The 17,719-nt window shown below is 51.8% G+C and overlaps 1 annotated feature.

The window, feature by feature from the left end:
• Positions 9,823-10,480: an enhancer, noted in NCBI's record as "H3K4me1 hESC enhancer chr9:95811946-95812603 (GRCh37/hg19 assembly coordinates)". NCBI's record gives its function as "activates a minimal SCP1, AML or CMV promoter by ChIP-STARR-seq in primed H9 embryonic stem cells {active_cell/tissue: H9 hESC(primed)}" and the evidence as "EXISTENCE:reporter gene assay evidence [ECO:0000049][PMID:30033119]".

Here is a 17,719-nt window from a genome sequence, read left to right on the forward strand (position 1 = left end):
GGGTGGTCCCAGCCCTGCCCTCCCTGCAGCCATGGGGGCCTCCAGAACTCTGTCTTATCACCAGCTGCCCCAGGAGCATCTCCCACTTCCCAGAATCCAAGCCCCTCTGAGCAGCCAGTTCTGGCAGTGAGTGTGCAGGAAGAAGGGTGGGCTCACCTCCCCTCGGGGTTGCTTGCTCTGTTTCTGCCAACAAACTCCCTCTGGACGATCCCTCCAGGGACATCCAGGGAGAGCTTTGGGCCCAGCCGGTGCCTGGGGGTGGCTGCATCATGACCCCACAGCCCATTCCTTCAGGCACCCACCCCAAGACACCGTACTTTCTGGGCCTCAGTAGGCAGGGCCAGCGGCGGTTGGCTCTGAAGCTGAAACACTATGTCCATGCAGGCAGCGCCTGGCACTGGGCAGGTATGGTCCAGGCCCCTCCACCCTTCCCCTCAGGACCTCCCTCTCGCGCCAGATTGAAGCAGTCATGGTTCCCCAGGGGCACCTGGTGGTCCCTGCAGCAGCTGGCTGCGACAAGAGGCCAGGCTGCTCCCTGCCCACAACATCATTCACATCGTTACTATGGGTGAAGGATTCCTCTCCATTTACTGGGGAGAAAACTGAGGTTGGGGAAAGGGAGCCACTGGAAGCCACGGGCTCCAGTGTACCTCCAGTCTACCTCCAGGGTTCCTCCCTCAGTTCCAGGGTTGTTAGATAAACCTGGAGGTCTGGGTGGGCCAAAAAGGGAGGCAGGGCAGGCCGTCGGGGAGCAGCCAGGCCCGCACCCCACATTCTATACATTCTATCCTGGAAAGCAGCCGCTTGGGCCGCCCAGCCCCAGGGCCTACCCTGCTCTCCTCACACTGCCTTGGTGGATTTCTGGGCTTGGTGCCCTGCTCCTAGGTGGGAAGCTCTGACAGAGGCTCCCACAAGCCTCCAGAAGGCTGCAGCTTAGCCAGGATGACAACTGTGTGGTCGGACAGCAGCTACATGCCATCTCCCAGCTGTCAGGCTCCATGGCCCTTGAACCCCTTGTGTACTAAGGCCCCTTCCAGCTGGGCCACAGGAGGTGCAGGCCTTAGTGCTGCCTTGGACGTGAGTGTTCCCGGGGTCCCTGACGGCAGCAGCCTGCCCACTTCCACGCGTCTGTCCTTGCTCCCTTGGGGCCTCCTCCCACCCTGGTTGACGGATGCCCAGTACTGGCCCCAGGCTGGACTCAACCCTCCCTGTCTAGCCAGGGTGGGGCAAACACAAGGCTGTGCCCTGGAGGCTTGGGGACAGCAATGGGTATCATCACCTAAGAGAGAAAGAGCTAGAGGCTGGGTGTGTGTCAGCTGAGCCCCGAATTTCTGGAAAGTCAAGGTGTTTCAGGAAGCAGACTCCACCTCTTGGGATCCCGTGACTTGACCCAAGCCAATCAGCATCCTCATTCCCTTGGCCACAGTGATTGGTCTGCATGGTCACATGACCCAAGATGGCCTCCCCACCCCTTGATGGCAGGAGGGAGCCTGGCTGCTGAGCTTGGGCAGCCATCTTGGAACTGGAAGAGCCTCCCAATGAGGCCCAAACAGAGGTTGGAGGAAGTCAGATCTCTGGTTTCATCTAGAGTAGTTACATGAGTCAATAAATTTCACGTGGAGTCAGGTTTTCTGCCAACTGCTGTCCTTGTCCACCCAGCCACTGTGTTGCAGGGATCAGCCTCTGCTCTCCAAAATTCCTGCCTTGGCCATATTTCCCCCACCCAGCATCCAGGCTTATAGCATCTCTTCCTCTTTTCTGCCGGGGCCAGGCCTGGCCCCCTTGGAGAGCTCAGTCTTCAGTGCCCCAGTGCTGTCCACTATAAATTCTACACAAAACTTCCTCATGAATCTCCATCTCAGAAAGGAAGCTTGGCTTTCCCTTTACCTTATCAAAACTCACGTAAATTATTCACCCCCAGCCAGGCATGGTGGCTCACGCCTGTAATCCCAGCACTTTGGGAGGCCAAGGCAGGCGGATCACCTGAGGTCAGGAGTTTGAGACCAGCCTGGCCAACGTGGTGAAATCTCATCTCTACTAAAAACACAAAAACATCATCCAGGCGTGGTGGTGGATGCCTATAATCCCAGCTACTCAGGAGGCCGAGGCAGGAGAATTGCTTGAACACAGGAGGTGGAGGTTGCAGTGAGCCGAGATTGCACCACTGCACTCCAGTCTGGGCAACAAAGCAAGACTCCATCTCAGAAAAAAAAAAAAAAAAGATCCACCCCTTCCAACAACATCTGTCCCAAAGAGACATTGAAAAACTGCTGACACCTGAATAGCCCATTCACATTTAAGAAAAATCATGGCCGGGTGCGGTGGCTCACGCCTGTAAAGCACTTTGGGAGGCCAAGGCAGGCGGATCATGAGGTCAAGAAATCAACACCATTCTGGCCAACATGGTGAAACAACCTCATCTCTACTAAAAATACAAAAATTAGCTGGGTATGATGGCATGCGCCTGTAGTCCCAGCTACTCAAGAGGCTGAGGCAGGAGAATCACTTGAACCTGGGAGGCAGAGGTTGCAGTTAGCCGAGATCACACCACTGCACTCCAGCCTGGCGACAGAGTAAGACTCCGTCTCAAAAAAAAAAAAAAACAAACAAAAAAAAAAAAACAAGAAAAGAAAAATTATATTGGGGTATAGTCTCAAAGCACCCCTCTTCCCGGAGTCATGAAATGAATATTTTGCTCTGTGAGACAACAGGATTCTCTCCTCTGCCCTCAACAAAACCTCACAGGAAAGGGCTACTGCCCTCACCTGCATGGAGAGAAGGACCGTGCAGCTCAGCATGGGGAGGCCATGCCTTAGGCGTGTTCTCCTAGTAGCAGGCCCTGCTATGTAGATTTCAATGCAAGGAGTTTATTTGGGAAGTGATCTAGGAAACCGAATAGGGGAGTGGAGATTGAGGCAGAGAAAGGCTGAAAGCCTTTCAAGGTACAGTGTGTTGAATAATGTCACCTCCAAATTCATGTCCATCCAGAACCTCAGCACATGGCCTGATTTGGAAATAAGATGCAATTCATTAAATTAAGATGAGGTCACTGTTTGTGACTTAAGTGAGGCATTTAGGTTAGGTTCGGTTTAGTCAGTGGGGGACCTCAGACCAAAATGGCAAAAGGATTGAGTTTCTAATTCACAAAGCCCAGGGAGCAGAGGGCAGCATGGTTCACAAGGCCCATGGGAAGGGGAGGGGACGTCTGGGACATATGTGCTCAGCAGCAGGTAAGGAGAAAAAGAGAGGGATCTGGGGGCCAAAGTCTTTACTGGGGTCCAGGGTGTTACCTACGTGCGTTTCCCGAGTCAGGGGCTCATTGGTTGATTTAAAGGGAGTGTGAGGGTAAGCACTGGAACTTGGCTACACTGTCAAGTTCACCAGACTTAAAGCAGAAGTAAGGTGACCCTGCAGTACAAAGTATGAGACCTTATCTATCCAAAATGCAAAAACAGGAACTGCATGGAGACTGTGTCAAAATATGTACGTCAGGTGTGACAAGCCAGGGACAGGACAAGATGGATGCTGAGGCAGCATTAATATGAATGAGAGTTATAACAGCCATATTGGATTAGGAAAGGCCCTAAATCCAATGATTTTTGCCCCTATAAGAAGAGGAGAGGGCCGGGTGCAGTGGTTCACACCTGTAATCCCAGCACTTTGGGAGGCCGGGGGGGGTGGGGTGGATCATGAGGTCAGGAGATCGAGACCAGCCTGCCCAGCATGGTGAAACCCCATCTGTACTAAAAATACAAAAATTAACTGGTGTGGTGGTGCATGGCTGTAGTCCCAGCTACTCGGGAGGCTGAGGCAAGAGAATCGTTTGAACCCAGGAAGTGGAGGTTGCAATGAGCCAAGATTGCACCACTGCACTCCAGCCTGGGCAACAGAGCAAGACTCTGTCTCAAAAAAAAAAAAAAAAAAAAAGAAGAGGAGAGATACACTCAGGGAAGAAGGCCATGGGACAGCAGAGGCAGAGAGTAGAGTGATGCCTCTACAAGCCAAAGAATATCAAGGATTTCTGGGAGTCACCAGAGACTAGGAAGAGGCAAGGAAGGATCCTCCTCCCCTAGAGCATTCAAAACGGTCTTGGCCCTACCAACACCTTGATTTTAGACTCCTGGCCTCCAGAACTGTGAGAGAATTAATTTGTACAGTAGCCCTAGAAAACTAATACAGATTTTGTACCAGGAAGTGAGGTGCTGCTGTGACAAATTTTTGAAAATACAAAAGTAGCTTTCAAGTTGAATAATGGGTAGAACCTGGAAGAGTTTTGAGGTGCTTGATAGAAAAAGCCTAGATGGCCTTCAAGTGCTTGTTGGTAGAAAAGTGGACATTTATTTAAGGTGTTCCTCATGAGGCTTAAAATCAAAGAAAAACGTAGAGAAATCTATCGTTTTTTTTTTGAGACAGAGTCTCACTCTTGTTGCCCAGGGTGGAGTGCAAATGACGTGATCTCAGCTCACTGCAACCTTTGCCTCCTGGGTTCAAACAATTCTCCTGCCTAAGCCTCCCGAGTAGCTGGGATTACAGGCACCTGCCACCACGCCTGGCTAATTTTTTGTATTTTTAGTAGAGATGGGGGTTTCACCATGTTAGTCAGGCTGGTCTCAAACTTCTGACCTCAGGTGATCCACCTGCCTTGGCCTCCCAAAGTGCTGGAATTAGAGGCATAAGACACCATGCCCAACCGAAATCTGTCATCTTAAAGAATATATATATCATCAAGAACAGGCCAGGTGCGGTGGCTCACACCTGCAATCCCAGCACTTTGGGAGGCTGAGGCAGGCGGATCATGAGGTCAGGAGATCGAGACCATCCTGGCTAACGCGGTGAAACCCTGTCTTTACTAAAAATACAAAAAATTAGCTGGGCATGGTGGCGGGCGTCTGTAGTCTCAGCTACTCGGGAGGCTGAGGCAGGAGAATGGTGTGAACCCAGGAGGCGGAGCTTGCAGTGAGCCGAGATCGTGCCACTGCACTCCAGCCTGGGCGACAGAGTGAGACTCCATCTCAAAAAATAATAATAATAAATTAAAAAAAAAAAAAAGACTAGCTTGACCAATATGGTGAAACCCTGTCTCTACTAAAAATACAAAAATTAGTTGGGTGTGGTGGCACACGCCTGTAGTCCCAGCTACTGGGGAGGCTGAGGCAGGAGAATCACTTAAACCCAGGAGATGGAGGTTGCAGTGAGCTGAGGTCGCACCACTGCACTCTAGCCTGGGCGGCAGAACGAGACTTCATCTCAAAAAAAGAAAAAAAAAAAAGAACAGAATGTTGGTAGAAATAGGAACATCACAGGTGCTTCTGGTGAGGCCTTAGAAGAGAGTAAGGAACATGCTATTGGAAAGAGGAGGAAAAGTGATCTTTGTTATAGAGTGGTAGAGAAGTTGGCTGAACTACATTCTAGTGTTGGGTAGAAAGTAGGAGACTTCCAGCTGGGCGTGTTGGCTCACGCCTGTAATCCTGGCACTTTGGGAGGCCGAGGCGGGCAGATCACGAGGTCAGGAGATCGAGACCATCCTGGCTAACACGGTGAAACCCCATCTCTACTAAAAATACAAAAAAAAATTAGCCGGGCATGGTGGCAGGCGCCTGTAGTCTCAGCTACTCAGGAGGCTGAGGGAGGAGAATGGCATGAACCCAGGAGGCGGAGCTTGCAGTGAGCCGAGATCGCACCACTGCACTCCAGCCTGGGTGACAGAACAAGACTCCGTCTCAAAAAAAAAAAAAAAAAAGAAAGTAGATTTCCAAACAGTGTAGAAGGTATGGCCTGGTTTGTCTTTGCTGCTTGTAGCAATTTATCTCTTTTAAGAGAAAAGAGATAAATTGAGGAAGGAACTGTTAAGCAAAAAGGAACTGTACTTGGTAATCTAGGAAGCCCTTAGCCTGTCCAGATTGCTAAATTAGCAAATTCACTATTGAGAAAATGTGGAGAGAAAGTGTGAAGAGAACACCAAGGGTGTTGTTGGACATTTTGTTGAAGACATTATGAATGTGACTCGTGGATCCAATCAACCATCTCAGTGGAATTGAGGAATAGAGATGAGGTTATCCAGGAATGATCTGTGGATAGAGCCTCTTGTCTGATGGCATGGGTCCCTGTAAACTACACAGGAGACCAACAAGATTTCTGAGAATGTTACACCAGCAGAAATGCTGCCAGCCTGGATTGAAAGGCATGGGGGTGCTAGGCATGGTGGCTCATGCCTGCAATCTCAGCACTTTGGGAGGCCGAGGTGGGTGGATCACGAGGTCAGGAGATGGAGACCATCCTGGATAACACGGTGAAAACCCCGTCTATACTAAAAAAAAAATACAAAAAAAATTAGCCAGGTGTGGTGGCAGGCGCCTGTAGTCCCAGTTACTTGGGAGGCTGAGGCAGGAGAATGGCGTGAACCTGGGAGGCAGAGCTTGCAGTGAGCTGAGACCGCACCACTGCACTCCAGCCTGGGCAACAGAGCGAGACTCCGTCTAAAAAAAAAAAAGAAAAAGAAAAAGGCGTGGGGATGGGATGAAATGAAGGAAGAATGTCTTGGAGGACAGCAGACATGGGTGCAGAGACAGGCTAGGGGTGGGGTGGGGGGGTGTGGCAGGAGGGTGGCTGCCTGCTGGGCCTCAGACTTGCTTAGGACCAAGTGATCCTTTCGTTTCTTCCCTTTTCTCCCTTTTGTTTTTTGTTGTGGTTGTTTGTTTGTTTTTTGAGATGGAGTCTCGTTCTGTTGCCCAGGCTGGAGTGCAGTGGTGCGATCTCCGCTCACTGCAAACTCTGGCTCCCAGGTTCATGCCATTCTCTTGCCTCAGCCTCCTGAGTAGCTGGGACTACAGGCACCCGCCACCATGCCTGGCTAATTTTTTGTATTTTTAGTAAAGATAGAGTTTCGTTAGCCAGGGTGGTCTCAATCTCCTGACCTTGTGATCCACCCGCCTCAGCCTCCCAAAGTGCTGGGATTACAGGCATGAGCCACCGTGCCTGGCCCCTTTTCTCCCTTTTGGAAGGCGCTCAGACTTTGGAGGATATTGGGATGAGGTGAATGTGTTTTGAACATGGGACCACAGTAACCTTTGGGAGTTCCAACTGTAGTGGGTTCAATAGTGTACCTGCAAATTTATGTCTGCCTGGAACGTCAGAATGTGATCTTATTTGGAAATAAGATCTTTGCAGATATAGTTAGATATAGAAGTCATACTGGATTAGGATGGGCCATAAATCCAATAACTAGTGTCCCAATAAGAAGAAAAGACACAGAGATGTGGTGGTGGAGGTAGAGATTGGAGTGGTGCAGCTACAAGCCAAGGAGTACCAAGAATGCCTTTGTTTTGAGGCCCCGATTTGTGGTACTTTGTTGCAGTGACCGTGGGACACTAACACACAGGGTGGGTAATTAAGCTATTAGGTCTGGAGGCAACTGGAACTTAGTCTGCTGGGGAGTCTGGTAGCTACTACTCCATCCTCCAGTTAAGAGCCCCAGAACACATCTGCTGATGAACAAAGTTGGATTTGCAGACTTGCTGCAATGAGCGGGAGCACATGTGTTGGGAAAGCCTAGGGCATTGCAATGGGATGCTTGTAGGGAGGACGTAGAGTAGGATTTGGGCTGTGTTAGGTGGTTTTGAAGGGGGTTCAAAAGCCAGTCTGCACTGGATGCTATCGGGAGCAATTCTATGCTTGGGTATTTTAATACATTCCATCAGAAAGCAGAGGAATGAAATGAGGCTCAAGCTGCAATTGGTATGAAACAGCAGCCACTCGTATCACCCAGGATATTGGTATTGTCTTTCCAGGGACTTTTTTCCTTTTTTTTTTTTTTTTTTTTTTTTTGAGACTGAGTCTTTCTCTGTCACCCAGGTGGAGTGCAATGGCATGATCTCGGCTCACTGCAACCTCTGCCTCCCGGGTTCAAACGATTCTCCTGCCTCAGCCTCTCACGTAGCTGGGATTACAGGTGCCTACTACCATGCCCAGCTAATTTTTGTATTTTTTTAGTAGAGATTGAGTTTCGCCATGTTAGCCAGGCTGGTCTTGAACTCCTGGGCTCAAGGTTATCCATCTGCGTCAGCCTCCCAAAGTGGTGGGATTACAGGCGTGAGCCTCCACACTTGGCCTGTGACTTTGCTTTTTCTGTGCCAAGACAAGATGTTGAAGTGGTCTTGTCTGATATTGATGCCCTGTGAGACTGTTTATGTTCAACGGGAGCTGTGAATGCCAGCTCAGTTCTGGCTTCTCACAGGGTAGACAGTCACCCCGGTACCATCCAGCTGGGCATTTACCCTCCAACACCTGGGAGACACCAGGAGACACTTGGAGACACTGGTTGAGGGCTGCTCTTGGGACCACTAATTCATTCCCCTACATTTCTGGCCTGCCCTGCATGAGCAGAGGGGCTTTGGACTTGTTTTGTTTTGTTTTTTTTTGTTGTTGTTGTTTTTGAGATGGAGTCTCACTGTCCCCCAGGCTGGAGTGCAATGGCGTGATCTTGGCTCACTGCAAGCTCTGCCTCCCGGGTTCACGCCATTCTCCTGCCTCAGCCTCCCAAGTAGCTGGGACTACAGGCACCCGCCACCATGTCCGGCTAATTTTTTGTATTTTTAGTAGAGATGGGGTTTCACTGTGTTAGCCAGGATGGTCTCGATCTCCTGACCTCGTGATCCGCCCACCTCGGCCTCCCAAAGTGCTGGGATCACAGGCGTGAGCCACCGCGCCTGGCCTGGACCTGTCTGACAATGATTCCGGCTTGATTATTATTCAGGTATGGTGAGGCCAGCAGATCAGTAGACAACTACCATTGAGAAGATAGCTTGCTATCACAGATCCCAAGTGGAAGAGGCCTCCACCCTTGAAGGGCCACACAGGGAAGCACCAGGGTTGGTCAGGAGGCAGAGGGAATGGGGGAAGTGTGGGCCGGAGCCTTTACTGTGGTTTTGAAGGAAGGCATGGGCAAGCAGGGCAAGCAGGCTGAGTACTGGCTGGTGTGAATCATTTCAGTGGGCTCTGGGGCACAGAGGCTCTTGCTGAGTGTCTGGTACCTGCCTCAGGGTGAGGAGTGCAGGGGGATGGTGGCCCAGAGTGTGGTAGCCCTGGAGAGGAGGTGTAGGATGTGGGCTCTGGGTTGGTTGGTTTGCACTTGAAAGGCATGATCACAGGCAAGTCCTTTACTCTCTAGGGACTGGCTATCCCTGGGAGGGGCTGTCACTCCAGGTCAGCAAGTCCCCAAGATGTCAAAGCATCAGAATACAGAAAATAAAAAAATATGATTAATATGGGCCCCCAGAGGGAGTCTCCAGCCGCTAGAAGTTGGGCTGAGGCCCCCGAGTGGGCATGGCTGAGGAGACATGGCAGGCACAGACGGCATCTGCTACAGGTGACCAGACCAAAGTCAGCTGGCTCAGGACCAGGGTTTCAGCTCAGGGCAGCCTGATGCCAAATTCCACATTCTGAACTATAGCTCGGTTTGGTGAGAGGAGAGAAAAGAACAACAGGTGTTTTCCAGCGTCATTGACCACATTACCTATTCGGACTGTGTCTCACTTGCATGTTCTGCAGACCATCACCAGTGCCTGCTCTGTGCCTGGCCCCATGCTGGGCTCTGGGGCCACAGAGATGAGCCAGGCATGGTTCCTGCCCTTGAGGTATGATTTGTCTGCAGGGGATTTGAGGAGGGAGCAAACCTGTGGTCCAGCCCAACCCTGGATGGCTAGAGAATCCTTGCTGAAGAAGGTGGTGCCCGAGCTGAGTGCTGAAGCACCAGCAGGGCCACAGAGCTGAGCAGAGCGGGCAGGAAAGTCACTGCAGCTGGAACACAGTGGGGACAGGGCTGGGGCAGGGAAGTCACTGTAGCTGGAACACTGTACGGACAGGCTGGGGGAGGAAAGTCACTGCAGCTGGAACACTGTAGGGACAGGCTGGGGGAGGGTGTCTCCTGCTCCACTGGGGAGTGAGGACTTTGCTCCTGGGCCCTGTGGATTTGGGAGATCTCCAGGGCCAGCAGCGTGGAGCACAGAGACAGGCAGAGCCTGTCAGTATTAATGAGTGGATGGAATAAAATTGGGAAGCAGCTGGGCGCAGTGGCTCATGCCTGTAATCCCAGCACTTTGGGAGGCCAAGGCAGGTGGATTACGAGGTCAAGAGATCCAGACCATCCTCGCCAACATGGTGAGGTCTCTACTAAAAATACAAAAATTAGCTGGGCATGGTGGTGCGCACCTGTAGTCCCAGCTACTCGGGAGGCTGAGGCAGGAGAATTGCTTGAACCCGGGAGGCAGCGGTTGCAGTGAGCCGAGATCACGTCACTGCACTCAAGCCTGGCAACAGAGCGAGACTCCATCTCAAAAAAAAAAAAAAAAAAAAAAACGGGAAGCAAGGGGAAGGACTTTTGACTCCATGGAAGAGCCGGGCAGGGGCCTGTTTGCATAACCATTTCTTGAAGTCTGGCTTCCAGAGGCAGTGGCCATTTGCACTACAGAAAGTGGTCTGTAGTGCAGGACCAGTGAGCTCTTAGCCCCCTGAAGGCTGCAGTGACATGATCCCCACCTAGGATCGCCATGTTCAGTTAAGCAGGTCATCCACTGCACAGAGGCACTAATGAATATGTACATACACTGAGATCCAGCCCATGTACCACCCTCAGGGATGTGGCCTCCTCCAAATTTGTACAAAGTCACCAAATGGGCTAGCTTTGGCCCTCTCCTTGCCCTCTGTAATTCTCTCTGAGGAGCCGAGAATGAGGTGGTTTCCAGGAGGGCTCAGGACCATGGGGGTTCAAGGAGACAATAAAGAAAAGAGCGCAGGGGGCTGGGGGCGGTGGCTGACGCCTGTAATCTCAGCACTTTGGGAAGCTGAGGCAGGCGGATCACTTGAGGTCAGGAGTTTGAGACCAGCCTGGCCAACATGGTGAAAGCCTGTTTCTACTAAAATACAAAAATTAGCTGGGTGTGGTGGTACGTGCCTGTAATCCCAGCTACCGGGGAGGCTGAGCCAGGAGAATCGCTTGAACCTGGGAGGCAGAGATTGCAGTGAGCTGAGATCGTGCCTCTGCACTCCAGCCTCGGCAACAGAGTAAGACTCTGTCTCAAAAAAATAGAGAAGAAAAAAGCGCAGGGAGACCCTGGATGGCCCCGTGAGCTTGGACCCACCTGGGTTAAGCCAGGCCTAAGGGAAAAAACAAACTGCACACCATCATCAGATTCATATGCGCTCATGACTGACTACGAAAGATGGTCTTGTCTCTGGTAATGGGCTGCACCCGCCTGCCTCCTAAGACAGCATCCTTACAGCTCAGAAGTACAGACAAATGAAATGGGACATTCCGCTAAACAGTTTAGCAAATACGGGTAGGCACTAAGAACAAGCACCTCACCTGTATCTCCACCCGGTATTACCACCACACACTTAGCACCCTCCAGCCACTCCCTGTGTTTGGATCTGTCTGTATATGTGTGTGTCTGTGTTTTATCAAAAAAAAATGGGGGCTGGGTGCGGTGGCTCACGCCTGTAATCCCAGCACTTTGGGAGGCCGAGGCGGGCGGATCATGAGGTCAGGAGATCGAGACCATCCTGACTAACACGGTGAAACCCTGTATCTACTAAAAATACAAAAAAATAGCCAGGCGTGGTGGTGGGCGCCTGTAGTCCCAGCTACTCGGGAGGCTGAGGCAGAAGAATGGTGTGAACCTGGGAGGCGGAGCTTGCAGTGAGCCGAGATCGTGCCACTGCACTCCAGCCTGGGCAACAGAGCGAGACTCCATCTCAAAAAAAAAAAAAAAAGGGAAAAAAATAAAAGTCATGGGATCATGCTTACATTTTGGGTCTCAGCTTGATCTTGGTGTTCTAATGTGGAGCAGGCTTCTGGAGCTCAGGTGCACAGCAGATACTCAAGAAGTGGTTGAGAACAACCTGGTCTGGTGCTCGTATCCAAAGCACAGTGGCACTTCAATTTGTTGACACTCCCATTGAAAGTGAGGTCTTTGACTCTGAGCTCTATTTTTGGTGAAAATAATATAACAGCAGTGTCGTTTCTGGGCTGAGGCCTTGAGAAACTGGCAGCTTCCACTTCCTGTCCTCTGGAATGCTTGCTCCTGGAAAGCCAGCCAGTAGGCTGTGAGAAAGCTCAAGCCGCCCTAGGGAGAGTAGTCAACAGCCTGCACCAGAGTGTCGGCCTGTGATGAGCCGGCCTGGGAATGGATCTGTGCTCCAGCTGAACCTCCCCGTGGAGCAGAGACCAGATGCTGGGTCCTGCCTAAATTGTAGGTTTGTGAGCAAAGGAAAGGATTATTGCCATTCTAAGAAGTATCTGTGGTTATCCAGTGACAGGTACAGAGGTACTGGAACCCTTGCCCAGCCAAGTGCCTCTACCTGGCCACAGTGATGAGGGTGATCCATCCTGGGATGAGATGTTAGGATCCTGGGAGAGAGCCTTGCTCTGCCTCTAGGACTGTGAGCTGCGAGGTCTTTGCTCAGAACCCCAAAGCTGCAGCATCCATGGTGGGGTGGAATAAGGCCGATAGACAGAGAAATGCATGCTGAGCGATGGAGAGACAGATGGAGCCCTGCAGACACATTTCCCCATCACCCACAACCTGCCTCCTTATTCATCCATGGGTTTAACTTGGGTTTTTGTCCTTTGCAACTAAGGCAGCCACTTAGCAAATATGTGACTCACAAGCTTAAGCCTCAGTTTCCCATCTGTAAAATGGGGATGGTGAAGCCCTCATCAACGTAACTGGGTGATTATTAGAAAACTGGAGCTGCCAGCGCAGGCAGAGGGAGAGGCAAGTGTAGACAGGGAGCCGCCAGCAGCCCTTCCTGCTCTCCACTTTCCTCCAAAGATGCAGCAAAGCTCCATCTATCACAGGCTCCACCCTTGGCCCTGGGACAGGAGTCCTAGCATGCCCATTTTGTGTGGGGGAGTGGGAGGAAACTGAGGCAAGGAGAGCCCAAGTCACATGCCCAGGTCCCACAGGCTGACCCCAGACAGGCTCCAAAGCCTGGTTTGTAGGGAGACTCTCCCCTCGCCGCAGGCCTCAGTCTCCCCATCTGTAAAACAGGAGACTTCCAAGGAGCTTCCTAAGGCTGAGTCTCTCTGATGTCTCTGTATGGATGAGTCTCAGCCAGCCTTACAGGCCACTGAGAGGCCACCCGAGGGCCATATCCAGATGTAACCCCCATACCCCCTGGCGGGGGGGCGGGCAGGAATGCCTTCTCCAAAGGTATAAGCCAGGGAACCTCAGCAGCCTGAGCAGAGACTCTGAGATTCAGCGGCATGGCTGCCAGACACACTGCACCTGCCCCAGGCTGTCAGGACCCTCTGATTCAGCCCTTTTTGAGAGGAGGTGGGGAAACTGGAGCCCAGGGGGTGTGGGCTTACCTGAGGCCACCAGAGGGCTGGTGAAGAGGCAGGATGAAAACACGCTGAGCCTGGGGGCTGGTGAGGGCAGAGCAGCCACTGCTCTTTCGGGGGCAGGGTGGGAGCTGGCAGGAAGCCTGTGGGGAGGGAGGAGGCGAGGCTCTCACCCTTCTCCAGTGACCAGGCACTTGGCGGCCCACGCTGCTCGCTACGCAGGTGCCGGGCATCAAAGAAGCTTAACTGGCTCTTCAGCATTAAGCCTCGGGCTGCCCTTGACCCACCTGTGCACCCCCTGACCTGCCAGCTTAACTGGGAACAGCTCCAGGCCAATGAAAGCACAACCCCCCACCTGAAATCCTATGCTTGGTTGTAACTCCTTAGAGCATGGTAATGCCGTGTAATCCTAGCAGCCGAGGACCCAGGTCAGTCCACATCTTTCCCGACAAGTGAACATCAGAATGGCCGTGGGAAATTTTGCAATAGTTTACATTTACAAAGCATTTAAAATCCTTGTTTCTTATCAGAGAATAGATACATGCTCATTGTGGAAAATTCAGAAAGTACAAAAAGAGTTGAGGGGTGGGAAAAAAGATGACCTGCTATCTGCCAGCCCAGTGGTGGCCAGGTAAAGGCCTTGGTGTGCAGGATGAGCATGGGGGGAGCAGCCCCTGGCCAGAGTTTGTCCCTCCTAGGCCCAGCTGTATCCCAGCTTCTAAACTGGCCTGGCATGCAGTAGGTGTTTGGTAGTAGCTGTTCCATGAATCTGTCATTCCTTCTGCCCTCTGGGCGCCTTGCTTTGTGTCTCTGCATCACCATTTCTGAACCTGAGGGCGGCAGCTCGATGTCATGTCACCCAGGCTGACTGATCTGCTTGTGCAGGCTGCAGCCAGGTAGGACAGTCTGGTGGTCACAGCTCAGGCCCCAGCAGGGGAGTACCCCCGGGGAGGGGCCTTTGTCGCTCTGCACAGTGGGGACAGGGCTCTTGCCTTGCTTTAGGAGGATAAGTGGTGGGTGTTGAGGGCTCCAGATGGCCCAGCAGAAAACATTTTTGGGAAAATTGTTTTCTCTGCAAACATCTGGCCTGCTAGAGCTTCAAGGTCAGGTTACTTTTTTTTTTTCTTTTTTTGCTTTTAGTTTTTAAAAGGTAATACAGTTTTTAAAAAGAGAGGACACCCATGAGGCCACCAATGCTTCCCTGACTCTTACCTTTTGCAAAAGAACTTTCTGGACGTGGTCTATTGTGAGAGGTTTTCAGAACAAAAATCTCATTTTTCTATTGAGTAAAAACTAAAATCAAGAATAAAGCAAAACAGGCTGGGCGCAGTGGCTCACACTTGTAATCCCAGCACTTTGAGAGGCCAGGGAGGGTGCATCACCTGAGGTCAGGAGCTCAAGACCACTCTGACCAACATGGTGAAACCCTGTTTCTACTAAAAATACAAAAATTAACTGGGCGTGGTGGTGCATGCCTGTAATCCCAGCTACTTGGAAGTCTGAGGCAGGAGAATTGCATGTACCCAGGAGGTGGAGGTTGCAGTGAGCTGAACTCATGCCACTGCAATCCAGCCTGGGTGACAGAGCAAGACTTTGTCAAAAAAAAAAAAAAAAGGCAAAACAAACTGTTTTAGATTTCCACAATTATTATCTAATTTTAGAAAAACTCACCAAGCCAAGAACTCTGCCACCACCAGACTTCTGCATGGGTCCCCTCCCAGGCCACCATGGCCCATGGGTGCTGAGTCAGGCAAATCAAGGGTTGAGGAAGGCTTCCTGGGGGTGGCAACACCTCAGCTAAGGTCTGAGGAAAGAGGAAACTCCCAAGCCAGACCCTCACCTTCCTCTGGAAACCTCTGGCAGCGCACAAGACCCCCATGTTACAGAGTGGAACACTGAGCCCCAGGGCTGGCAGGCCTCCCCTGCCTCCCAGGTTCCATCCAACAAGTGTCCACTGACAGTGCACTGTGTGCTCCCAGTTGCAAATGGAGCTGGGAAGAGGCTGTGGCTTTGGTCAGTTCCTCAGGCTGTGCCTGACTCTGCTTCCTTCTCCCGGCCTGCCTCACCAGCAGCCAGCAGCCCATCCGTTCCTCCTAGCCTCCTCCCCTGCCTCCTCCAGCAGGGAAGCCCATATGTTTTGCGTTTTTTTTTTTTTTTTTTTTTTTTTTGAGACACAGTTTCCCTTTGTCACCCAGGCTGGAGTGCAGTGGTGCAATCTCAGATCACTGCAACCTCCGCCTCCTAGGTTCAAGCAATTCTCGTGCCTCGGCCTCCCAAGTAGCTGGGATTACAGGTGTGTCTGACCTCAAGTGATCCTCTCGGCCATATCCGGCCACATGTCCATAGCTCCACACCTGGCCACATGTCCTCTTCATTTCAGAGACGTGACACAGGCTGAGCAGGCCTTAAGGACAGGCAGCACGAAATGGCTCTGACAGGGAGTGCCATCAGGGAGGGCTCCATGGAGAAGGAGGGTGAGGAAGGCAAGGAGACACACCCAAGCAGGCAGAGCCTAAGCACTGCTCCCAGTTTGTGCCTAGACTTGGAGAGTCTGGGAAACCAGGCAACTAGGACAGCTGAGCGGGTGGGCCAAGCTCAAAAGCTGACGGGCCTTCACAGTCCAGCTTAGAGGCCACCACTCCATCCTGAGCACATCACAGTCTCTCACTTGCCTTGAGAGGGTGGCAGGACAATGTCCACCCCTCAGATGAGAACACGAAGACTCAGTGCAAGGGTGCCCACCCCTGCCCCAGGGATCAGGGAAGCCTGTCAGAGAGCCATGGTTCTCACCATGGAAGGGGGCACCCCAGGCGGTTGTCCCTAGTGGGCCAGTGCCGTTCTTTTCACATGCCTCAGTTTCGCCCACGTGCATGGCTAGAATAGCTGGGCTTTCTAGGAGCAAACCATTCCAAGGGCCTGGGAAAAGGTGGACAAGATGGCCCTGATCAGTGTTCAAATAGGTGACAGGCCCACCTCCAGAACCAGCCTCAGATCCCTCCCATAGCTCCTGAAGATGGCCTTTTGGCAGCAAATGGGTGTTCTGAGCCACAGCAAGGCATACAGTTCCCTGTGGAAACGACATGACAGAGGTCCTTAGGCCACCTCCAGGTCCCCTAACAGTACAAATGGAGGCCCAGCGCCACAAGCCTGAATGTCCACAACCCAACCAAGCGACAGACTGCTCAGAAAAACATGCTCTTTCCTCCTTGATCCCACCTGTCAGGGGCTGAACTGTGTCCCCCAAAATCTATATGTTTAAGTCCTAACCCTCAGTACCTCCAAATATGACCTTATTTGGAGACAAGGTCTTTACAGACTCTTCTTTTTTTTTTTTTTTTTCTTGAGATGGTGTCTTGCTCTGTTGCCCAGGCTGGAGTGCAGTGGCACAATCTCAGCTCACCACAACCTCCGCCTCCCGGGTTCAAGTGATTCTCCTGCCTCAGCTTCCCAAGTAACTGGGACTACAGGCACGCGCCACCATGCCCAGCTAATTTTTGTATTTTTAGTAGAGACAGGGTTTCACCATGTTGGCCAGGCTGGTCGCAAACTCCTGACCTTATGATCCACCTGCCTCTGCCTCCCAATGTGCTGGGATTACAGGCGTGAGCCACTGAGCCTGGCCGGTCTTTACAGACTCTTTATAGGGTCTTAAGTTAAGATGAGGACATTACGGTGGGCTCTAATCTAATATGACTGGTGTCCTTAGAAGAGAGATTTGAACACAGAGAGACACAGGGAGAGCACCATGTGTAGACAGGAGTTAAGTTGCCACCGGCCAAGGAACTGCCAGAAGCTGGATGATACAAGGAAGGCTGTTCTCCTGGAGTTTTTGGAGGGACTGCAGGCCTGCCGACACCCTGATCTCAGACTTCTGGCCTCCTGAACCATAAGACAATAAATTTCTGTTGTTCTCAGGCACCCAGTCTGGGGTACTATGTTACACAGCTCTAGGAAACACACTTCCTAAATGGCCAGGTGTTTAGCATTTGAAGGCTCCTGAAGGCCTGGGTCACAGCGTGGTGGCTTAGGGAGCTGCAGGCAGCCTGGTGTTTTCCATCCCCACCTAGCTCCACCCAGCTATTGGAGGGCTGCCCCAGACCTCCCTCCCAGCCCTGTCCATGCACCTACAGGCAGTGGCCTTCTGCCTGGTGGTGCATGGTGGGCAAAACCAGGGAAGGGACCACACAGGCCTGAGAGGTGGGCTAGGGGCCACTTGGCAAGACATTCTGGGGTCCCAGAGTGTGGTCTGGAGTGGGCACTGCTGATGGCCCTGCCCTTCCCGACATGGCAGAAAGAATACACATGCTTGATTTTGAATAAAGGAGATTGAAGTAAGCCATCGTGTGTGACCCACAAGTCCAAGTGGGAAGAACATATCAG

This window comes from Homo sapiens, chromosome 9 (assembly GCF_000001405.40).
Source record: "Homo sapiens chromosome 9, GRCh38.p14 Primary Assembly".
In the NCBI taxonomy this organism is placed as follows: domain Eukaryota; kingdom Metazoa; phylum Chordata; class Mammalia; order Primates; family Hominidae; genus Homo; species Homo sapiens.